The 10992-nt window shown below is 45.8% G+C and overlaps 1 annotated feature.

Annotated features, from left to right (window-relative positions):
* Positions 2629-2827: a silencer, noted in NCBI's record as "fragment chr8:134643666-134643864 (GRCh37/hg19 assembly coordinates)". NCBI's record gives its function as "represses an EF-1alpha promoter that drives an FKBP-Casp9 reporter gene in an ReSE screen in K562 erythroleukemia cells {active_cell/tissue: K562}" and the evidence as "EXISTENCE:reporter gene assay evidence [ECO:0000049][PMID:32094911]".

Consider the following 10992-nt stretch of genomic DNA (forward strand, 5'->3'; position numbering starts at 1 on the left):
TCCACTCACTCTAAATATATAGGTAGAAATAATGCATATATGCATGCTTCTATAATTTATTTCTACTAACTAGACATGGACAGTATTTGCATCTGTTGAAAATAGGTAAATTATTTGTTTTCTTAAATTATAGGTGGCATATTTATGACAAGCACATATAAATTGTGAGTGCACATTATAAATATATAATCCTGTTTGCAGACATTTATGGGCTGTATGCTGTGTGCCAAGCTTTGTGCTGAGCACTTTACAGTCATTATTTCATTTTATCTTCATTGCTGTCCCGTGGAGAAGATAAAATGCACTGGCTTTCAACTTTCTCTTTGTAAAATAGAACCTATTTTAAAAATAAAATATAGCACAGAAACTTCAACATACAGAAGAGACAGAAGCTTTGCAGCATCCTGGAGATGCTCTTAGCATTCCTGCCTCCATCTCTACCCTACCCTCCAAGGCAAAGAGGCAGAGGCAAGAGGACTGGATTCCCAGGCTAAGATGCTCACCCCTTCCCAGCTGTGTAACCTGGGGCAAGTTGCTTAAATCTCTGAGCCCCAGTTTCCTTACCTTTAAAAATCCCCAAACATTAATTATGAGAATACAATGAGATAATGTATTAAAAATAAGAAAAACATTATAACTCAGTGACTGGCACTTAGCGGGTACAAAATACCTGTTATCTGAATTTCCTTCTGCCTTAGGTTGGCTTCCCCAGAAGCAGATCCTGAAATAATGAATGTGAAAGTGGTGCATTAGGAAGTGTGCACCTGAAAACACTGGTGTGGTTTTGGGGCAGTGGGCTTGCGTAGGGGAGGAGACCAAGCAAGGCTGTGATGTCAAGCAAAGGCCTGCGGAGGTTGACTTTGGCTCAACTCCACAGAGGAGCTCAGGAAACGGTGTAGGTCATACTTCGGAGCTGCCCTAGGCAGGGGCCAGGGAGCTGCAGCACTGATAACCTATACCCATCAACCCAAGGCTGTTCCCAGGGACTCTGTCTGTTGCATTGACCCCCAGAGTGGGTTCCAGCTGCCGCAGGGCAGCCTTTTATCAAAGTGAGGGAGCGATGTGGGTTCTGTTGAGAGTTAAATGCACTAGGAGCCGCATGCCTTGGATGGTCAGAGTTCCCTGGGTGAGGTGGGCAGAGTTCTGGCTAATGACCCCCACAGAGTCCTAATATGTGATGGTCTGCAGAAGGCTCTGGAACCATTTAGAAGAAGGGCTTTCTTCATCATCTCTGCCTTTACTGGACCAAGTCCAAGTGCCAAGTACAATCAGAGCCCTCCTTACTGTGGATTCACCCCTTGGTGTCTAGCAGCTCCTTCTCATTGGAGGCTTGCCTGGCAACACAGTGAAAGACCCAGTATCTCTGGGTACCAGGGTGCCTCTGCATAAAGTACCAGTCCTAGGGCACTGGAGATACATCTGTGCTTTTTGCTGTAGATTAGAATCAGGAGGGTGCATTTCTCCAAAGGTACCTGGAGGACAGTGACCAGACACACTCCAGGACTGTGCACATGGAGACAGCCCTTTCCCGAGGGCTCACTTCATGCCTTTTCCTTGGATATCACTCAGTCCTCTCATTTCACACTAACTCCAGGAGGCATTTTGCTGTTTTCATTCCCATTTTCCAGATGGAGATACTGAGGCTCTGAGAGGCTCTGCAACTTTAAGGTCTTGGAGTTAGTTACTGCCAGAACAAGAATTTCAGCCCCAATCTTTCAGACTTCCTCTCACCACTCTGCCCTTCAGTTAACCTAAGAGATTTGGGAGCCAGGAGGAAGATTCTGACATTGCTAATTAGAGAGACACTACAGGGATTATAACAAATCTGGAGAATGAACTCTAAGATCACCAGGTGGTGCCCCTGGAACTTGTCCAGCTGCCCAAATATGGAAGAGAATGAGACTTCAAGGAAGGATGGTCTCTTTTGTCTATGGAATTAACCTATGTTAATTTATTTCCTACTAAATTTCAAGCTACAGTGTAGAAGCTTTAATTAACACTCAGAACCAAGGATGGGTCCAGTGGGACTGTCCCGAGAACGTGTGCACACAAGCTCATCTCTAAACTCATCCCTAATACTAATTAGCCCCACAAGTTCTCCAAGGGCCTTGTCTGCTAATTTGGAACCTGGCGATGAGCTCTATCTCTGCCTAGCCTTGGAGAACAAGGACACAAATCTCTTCATCTCCATTATCAATGTCATGCCAACGGCCCAGGGGGACTATGGAATCATTAATGACTCCTCATTGGTTGGCAGAGCAACTTGAAGCCCTTCACAAAGTGACTCTGCCTGGTTTGCTCCTCCACATCCAACTGTGACATAATGGGGTTAGTTCAGTGGACAACACTGCTGCATTCTGGTGAGGACATTGGCCTCACCCCCTACCATGCTGACCTTGGATGGAAATGTACATTCTCGAGGCTTTGAACACAAAGATGAACACAAGAACACTTCAGAGGAGTGTGGGGCTGGCAGTTGGGAAGCCCAAGACCTCTTCCCCGCAGCACCAGTTTTTTCTCCCGTGGAGTTCGTTTTTACTTCTCTGTATCCCAGTTGCCTTAGCTGTAAAAGGGGGCTTTAATTCTTACAAAACCCTTGTCCCAGGATGATCATGAGAATTCCATGAGTTAAAGCATCTGCAACATGTAGAAAAGTGGCAGACACATCGTAAGCATAAAAAATAAAAATAAAAAAAAATAAAGTTAACCCTTGATGTTATGATTCTTCCATCTTGGCCTCTGAGTTCCCCCCCAACTAGGCTTCCTGCAGGGACAATGACCAATGTCTGTGCACCAGGACATGCCATGTCAAGTCTCCCAGACCCCAGGGACCAATGCTTCAGAGGTCTGCTCTATCATCTCTTGCCACCTGCCTCTCAAACTACATTGTGATGTCTTTCAAAAATCAATCTAATAATGCCACTCTCATTACTTGGAAGTTTATCCCAGGTCCCGGTCTACCTATAAGACCCAGCCTAGCCTAACCTGTGACTGCCTCTCGCCTCATTTCTCTTTCTCTTTTTTTTTTTTTTTTTTGGAGATGGAGTCTTGCTCTGTCACCCAGGCTGGAGTACAATGGTGCAATCTGGGCTCACTGCAACCTCAACCTCCTGGGTTCAAGAAATTCTCCTGCTTCAGCCTCTGGAGTAGCTGGGATTACAGGCGCTTACCACCATACCCGGCTAATGTTTTTGTATTTTTATTAGAGATGGGGTTTTACCAGTTTGGCCATGCTGGTCTCGAACTCCTGATCTTAGGTGATCCGCCTACCTCCGAAAGTGCTGGGATTACAGGCGTGAGCCACCATGCCTGGCCCTCTCACCTCATTTCTGACTGCACTCTGCTCGGCTCATGCTTCTGTTGCGGCACTGTGCTCCTTGCTGTTCTAGGAGCTGTGAGCATGCCTCTGCCTCAGGGTCTTGCCTCTGCCTTCCCCTCCTCCTGGAACCTTCTCACAGTTATAGTGTTGCTCATTCAGTTCTTTCATCTCTCAGTTTAAAGCTGATTTCATTTGAGAGGCCACCTGAAATACATTCACAAGACAGGACAGGATGAACAGGAGTTTCAAAGTCATGGCTTAAAATAGCAGTTGAAGGGCTGGGTACGGTGGCTCAACCTGTAATTGCAGCACTTTAAGAGGCCAAGGCGGGTGGATCGCGAGGTCAAGAGATCGAGACCCTGTTGGCTAGCATGGTGAATCCCTGTCTCTACTAAAAATACAAAAGATAAGCCAGGTGTGGTGGCACGCAACTGTAGTCCCAGCTACTCGGGAGGCTGAGGCAGGAGAATCGCTTGAACCCAGGAGGCGGAGGTTGCAGTGAGCCGAGATTGCGCCACTGAACTCCATCCTGGGTGACAGAGGGAGACACTGTTTCAAAAAACCCCCAAAAAACAAAAACAAAAACAAAAACAAAACAAAACAAAACAAAAAAACAGTTGAAGAACAAGGGCAGTTTAGCCCAGGGAAGAGGCACCTGGTAGTTGGGGGACAGGACTGAGTTGGAATTATCATGCTTCTTAGGGACTATCGTGGAAAGACAGCAGGCTTGCTGTGTGAGGAAATTTGGGGAGAACAAGGATGAAGAGCTAGACACCACAGGGAGATAGCCACATCTTTAAGGTAACACTAGGAGGGAATATTCTCCCCATCAGACCTGTCCAGAGCTGAGTTGAGCAGCCTCAGGATACTTGAAAGTGGAGGCTGAAGAACCACCGGGCAAGATAATCCAGCTATTCCAGTTGGAGGATGGAGTGTTTGTACGTGGACGTAGGTACTGAATTTGGTAAAATTCCAAACTGGAGCTTCTGGGCTTCTTCACTGTTTTCCTAGGCATTTTGTCTCTGGAAGCCCTCGATGAGACTGTCAATGACCCCAGGATGGGGCAAGTTTCTTGGCCAGGATCAGACCTTTGAACTTCACTTGCTGCTGAGACTGGGGAAGCGAGTGCAACCTCCTTTATTCTCTAAGACAATGGTCCTTCTACACTTATTAAAAAGAATCAAAATATTTTGTTTCAGGGTTTCTCAAACATTTCAAAGACAGGAAAACCTGTGATCTAAGGCACTGCACTGCCCCAGTCTCTCTCCCATGACCTTCCACAGCATTTTGCTTTGAGGTCTATCTCAGGAATTGTTACAATGTACTGTAAGGATGTATTTGACCCCTTCAAAAAATGAGTCAATGAGTTTTTTTTTATTTTTTAATTTTTTTAATTTTTTTTTTGAGATGGAGTCTCACTCTGTCGCCCAGGCTGTAGTGCAGTGGTGTGATCTCGGCTCACTGCAACCTCAGCCTCCTGGGTTCAAGCGATTCTCCTGCCTCAGTCTCCTGAATAGCTGGGATTACAGGTACATGCCACCACACCCGGCTTATTTTTTGTATTTTTAGTAGAGCTGGGGTTTAACCACATTGGTCAGGCTGGTCTCAAACTCCTGACCTCAGGTGATCCACCCACATCGGCCTTCCAAAGTGCAGGTATTGGGATTACAGGCATGAGCCATCGTGCCCAGCCCCCCAAATGAGTTTTTTATGTGTAGAGTTTATGTCTTATTTATTACTGTATCCCCAGTTGAGTTCAATGTGTGTGTGCGTGTGTGTGTGTGTGTGTGTGTGTGTGTGTGAGAGAGAGAGAGAGAGAGAGAAAAGCAGAAAGAGAGAGACAGAAAGAGAGAGTTGGGGGGTGAGGGGGTGGTTTATTCAATCTGTGTGCAGATTGCATAAGCCAGATGACATTTGAATGATAATCAAGATGCAACTTTTCAACCTTAGGCAGTTTTGGTTCCTGTCCTCTGACTGGGGATGAAAACGATAGGCTAATAATTTCTTTTTACTCACAGGAAAATTAGCAGACATTCCCTGCGTTGCTTTAGGTTTTCACTTCGAAATCTGAGACTTTGAAATGTGAGAGTTGTGGTAATTCCAGTCCCACATATTCACCAGAACTCCCAGATGCCTTGGTGCTAAATCTCTTTTCTCATAGCTTGGGTTGGCTTTGGGGTGCAGCCTGCAGTGGCAAATGGGGGTGTGGCTGGCTTCTGCTTCTGTTCCATCTCTCTACCTGGTCTGCTCTTTTCGTTCTCTATGACTGGTTTTGATGTGCCATAGAAAATGCAAACAGACCTTCCGAAAAAGTCTCCCTAGAGCTGTCCTAGTTATAAACCAGCTTTGTCCCCTTGGGCCTGGATGTTGGTCCAAAAAAAGAGCTTTTCCTCCTGTGGGCTCTGGACGGCCCTCTAGGGCCTCCCTGCACCCCTCTGACCCAGGGAGGTGGCCTCCTGAATCCCCTTCTTCGGCCACCAGGTGCTCACCTGCAGCTTCTTGTTCCTCCTCTTCCCACCCTCCACTGAGAAGGATCTGAGGCTGTTCTAAGCTGCCTGCCATAGCCCACGTTTTGCAGAGTCACCGTCTGACCACAGCATGCACTTACACCCCTGCCCATCTATGAGCGAACATACTCCAATGAAGCAGTGCACTCATGGCCCCCAGGGCAGCTGCTCATCTTCTTTAATCACTTAGGCAGAAGTCAGACCTAGTTTATCCTGTTCCAGAGGGTAGAATAGAACAGGTCCTTGCAAGCCCCGTTGAAGCCCCTCTTTCTGGAGCTGGGATGGAAGGTAGCATCCTGTCCAGATGATGGGATAGGGGCTCTCACCTTATGGACTCACATCACTCTCTCCAGAGGTTTCTCCACTACTGTCTTTTCAGTTTCTTTCTCACCTTGTTGTTTCCCACTGAGGGATCCAAAGAGCAGTAGAACAGGCTTTCCTTCATTCTTTTTGTAAATTTTGCAGCTGCCTGTGTTGGTGTGGGCTTTTCCCCATATCCCCTTTGGGATTCTGTTGGCCTTGTCCAGGCATGGTGTTTAAATTGAGGCGGGAAGAGTACCACTGGAACAGCCTGTTGCTTGTATGATCCACCATGTGTCAGGCTCTGGGGAGTGAACAGGGCTGAAAAGGGGAATGAGGCCAGGCTTGTGGTCTAGAGGAGTGCTTAATCTGGTGGGTGGAGGGAGGGAGAGGGACAGAGAGAGACAGAGACAGAGTGCTTCCGTCAGCCCGTATTTACTGAGTGCCTACAGACGTCAGGTATGATGCTAGGTTCTAAACATGCACAGGTGAAGAAAATGGGCATGGTCCCTGGCATTAAATATAACATTGTAAGGTCCAGAGGGCATGCAAGGGAGAGCAGTAAAGCTGAGGGCAGAGAGGTGAGGGGGCTGGGGAGCAGAGCACTTATGTTCTTGTGGGTGATTGTCAAGGACTTTGGCTTTAACAATGATAGGGAGCCATTGGAGGGTCGAAAGGTGTATCATGATCTGATCTATGTTTCAGAGGGGTCATTGTGGCTGCTCTGCCCTTATAGGGGCACAGGGCAGAAGCAGTGAGACCAGTTTGGGGGCTAATGGAGCAATGCTGTTGAGCAATGTGTGAGTGATAGGAATGATGAGAAACGGTCAGCTACGGGGTTTATTTGAAAGTACAGCCAACATTTGCTATGGATTCCATGTAAAGGGTGACTTCAGGTCTTTCCAAGCTCCAAAAGAATGAAATTACCATTAACTAGGATGAAGACAATTGTGGGAGGAGGAAGTTGGAAGAAGGGTGGGAAATCAGAAATTTTTGGACAGATAAAGTTTGAGATGCTTTTTATGCAATCCAGTGGAGATATTTGGGTGCAAGAGAGATATCAGACCTCTCCACAATAAAACTGGGGGAGTCATCAAAGAATAGATGATATTTAGGTCATTATCTTGAGGTGCTGACCTCAAAGGTGCATGTAGAAAGAGAAGAGGTCTGGGGAGTAAGGCTTGGGTCATTCCAGTGTTTGTTAGTGGCTGACATGGGGAAGAACTGGCAAGCAAGAAGTCAATGGAGGAGGAGGACAGTCCAGAGCCATGTCCTAGAAGCCAACTGAAGAAAGGGTTTCAAAAGGAAGCAGTGATTAACTTATCAAACATGGCTGGTACAGTGAAATATAACAAGACTGAGGCATAACTGTTGGATATAGCAATGTGCAGGCTATTGGAGTCCTTGACAATGGTTCTTTTGTTGGATTAGTGGAGACAGAATTAGGGTTGGTTGGAGTTAAATAGAGAATGAAAAAATGGTGAATGTAGACAATTCATTCCAAGAGGGGGAAGGGAGATGCATGGACAAGAGAGAATATTTGAATTAATATTCAATATTAATTCAATATTAAAATATTAAAATAATGATGCAAAAGAGAAAGATGAGAATGGTAAGAAGATGGGATGTAGGGGAACTAGCTTTATATAGGAGCATAGACAGTCTGTAGCATTTGAAAGGAAGGCAGAGGTTGGGAGTACAGGTGCAGGGAGGTACATGAGGTAGTGGCACTATGTGGAATTTATCTTCTAATTGCCTAACTTGCTCAGCAAAGTAGCGAGAAAAGGGTAAAAGTGGAGAGAACTTTTGGAAGTCTGAGAAGAGAGTAGACATGGAGTAGTCTAAAATAGTAGGAGATTGGATTGATGCGGGAAAGGCGGCAAGATAGCTGGGTAGCCTTAAAGACTCACTTGAGGTTGGTGGTCAGGTTGTCATTAATTTAAAATCAACATTGCTTTGGGTTGTCTTCCAGTGAAAGACAGTTGTTTGGGTTCAGGCAGAGAGTGTGAGCAGTGAGGATTTAACAAGAATTGTAGTTTTTCCAGGCAAGTACAATGACAAAGAAAAGGGCAGTGGAGATAAAGGTGTATGAAAGAGATGATTATAATGGTGCTCTGTGACATCTATGCTAGGCTGCAGGGAAGCGGCCACGTGAGTGGGGTAGGGGACAACAAAACTGTGGTAGGGTCAATGGATTATAGGGTTGTGTTGAGGCCAAGGACTTGTTAGAGTTAACGTAGTATATAGCAGATGGACTGCAAATAAGAGAGGTGGTGGTCTGAGAGAGAGATGCTTGAGGTTGGAATTCTGGAGGGGCTAAAGTCACTGTAATGACAAGGTCTAGGAGTGAGTAGGAGGCAGTAGAGGAAGTCAAGTTCAAAGGCCATGGCCATTGCCTAGGCAAACCATGGTGGTGGCTTGAGTTGAAATGGCAAAAAAGAAGATGGAGAAAAGCATATGGTGATGAACATTCCAATATGATCACGGAAATCCATGCAGCATAGCATTTTCAAGAACTCCAGAGTGTGATCGCTCGGGTTCTCTTCCTGGCTCAATCATGTACAAGCTCTGTGATCTCGGGTAAATTATCTTCAAATGTGATGTGGGTGGACAATAGCACCTACTTCATACCTTTGTCATGAGGATTAAATAAATTTGTACAGGCAAAGCACTTGGCATGTAGTAAAATATCAATAGCTGATAATAATCTGTAACTCCTAGGCCTGGCCCCCTATTGTGGATCCCCATGGACTGGCCTACAGCAGAGGTTCTACAGGAGCACTACCTGTTCCCCTGGGGACTTATATCCTAAGAACAACTGGTATTTTAAACAAAAAAATGACATGGGGTGAGTTAGGTTTTATAAAGATTACTCTATTTACTGCAAGGAGAATGGTTTATTTCAAATTTCAGATGAAAAAAGGGCTTGGGACTTTGATGTTCATTGAAGTGGGACAAGCATTGTAATGCGTGTAGAAATGGGCCTATAGGTAGGAGAAGGTGCTCCTTGTTATGTTACTCAAGGTCCTTCAGAGTTGCCACCCTGCTTTTCCTGGTAGCTGGATCTCCAGCCACTGCCTCTGCTCAGCATTAGGCACAATTCCCCCAGCCAAACTCACACCTTGGTTTATGGGAGACCTCTCAACCCTTTCACTGGCCACACTCTTATTCATCCTTCAAAACTCAGTTCTCAGATCATCTGTGTAGACTTCCCTAGTGTCCAAAGCTTGAATGGTTCCCACTTGGTCTCTTCATTAGGATGTCCAAACTGGTTATATTTGCTGTATTCATAAAGGGATGTATCATAAGACTTAAGATTTTTAGGCCGGGCATGGTGGCTTACCCCTGTAATCCCAGCACTTTGGGAGGGCAAGGTGGGCGGATCACAAGGTCAAGAGATCAAGACCATCCTGGCTCATATGGTGAAACCCCATCTCTACTAAAAAAAAAAAATGCAAAAAATTAGCTGGGCGTGGTGGCAGGTGCCTGTAGTCCCAGCTACTCAGGAGGCTGAGGCAGGAGAATGGTGTGAACCTGGGAGGCAGAGCTTGCAGTAAGCCGATATCTCGCCACTGCACTCCAGCATGGGGAACAGAGCAAGACTCCACCTCAAAAAAAAGAAAGAAAAAAAAAAGACTTAAGATATTCCTCTTTTAGGAATAAAGTTGACCCCTAAAACTCATTGGCCATTTTACTCTTTAGCCTTGGAGGAGTCAAGCTTCCATGTTTGTTCAGGGAACACAATGGTTGATTCTTGTGAGTGCACATACCCCATGGTCTTTTCGAGATCATGGCAGAAAATATTGACTCTCTTTTTGTTTCAGGGTTTTTCTCAGTCTCTGGAGGATTGAAGACAGTTGGTAGTCCAATGGCAGGGCTCTTATCTGGAAGCCTCTATCAGATTTCCCACTGAGGCCTAAGGCTGAGAACCTTTTATTTTCTCTTTCACGCTTCAAGTTGGGAGTGATTTGTGTCTGCTGTCTATAGTTCTCAAAGACCTGTGGGTACTGTTTCTCAAAAAATAAGAAAAATCACATTATTTCAACAGGGAGATCATGCAGAGCTGGTGCAGATTCAGTGAGATCGTCCTCGAAATCTTATGCCAACCTGCTGTTGGTGTTTCCAAGAGAGAGTGGGGGAGTGGCCTGAGACCCTCTTCCCAGGAATATATTGCGGTTATGGTCAGACTTCAGGTCCCAGCTGCAGAAGCCCTGGGTAGCAAATGTCCAGTTGTAGATAAAACCCTAAGGGTCTTTCCTCCTTCAAGTAGAGGTGGCGGAGGAGCAGTGGTGGCTTGAGATTTACTGGGACTTTTGAAACCAACGAACTTCCCTAAGCAGAGGGCTGGATCCTGAGGGTGATGTTTGAGTGCTGTCTAGAGAGAATAGAGGGGCTGCAGGAGAACCTTCTGGGGACTGCTTATGGCTTTTTTTTTTTTTTTTCCAGATGGAGCTTCACTCTTATTGCCCAGGCTGGAGTGCAATGGCACAATCTCAGCTCACCACAACCTCCACCTCCCAGGTTCAAGCAATTCTCCTGCCTCAGCCTCCCAAGTAGCTGGGATTACAGGCATGCACCATCACGCCCGGCAAAGTTTTGTATTTTTAGTAGAGACGAGGTTTTACCATGTTGGTCAGTCTGGTCTCGAACTCCCAACCTCAGGTGATCCACCCGCCTTGGCCTCCCAAAGTGCTGGGATTACAGGCATGAGCCACTGCACCAGGCACCTCATGGCTCTTTCTGCTTTATTCTTTATTTGTTAAATGCTAACATTTTAAAAACTGTGGTAAAATCCACATAATGCAAAATTTACCATCTTAACCATCTTTAAGTATCCAGTTCAGTGGTATTAAGTGCATCCACATT

This window comes from Homo sapiens, chromosome 8 (assembly GCF_000001405.40).
Source record: "Homo sapiens chromosome 8, GRCh38.p14 Primary Assembly".
NCBI classification, from domain to species: Eukaryota; Metazoa; Chordata; class Mammalia; order Primates; family Hominidae; genus Homo; species Homo sapiens.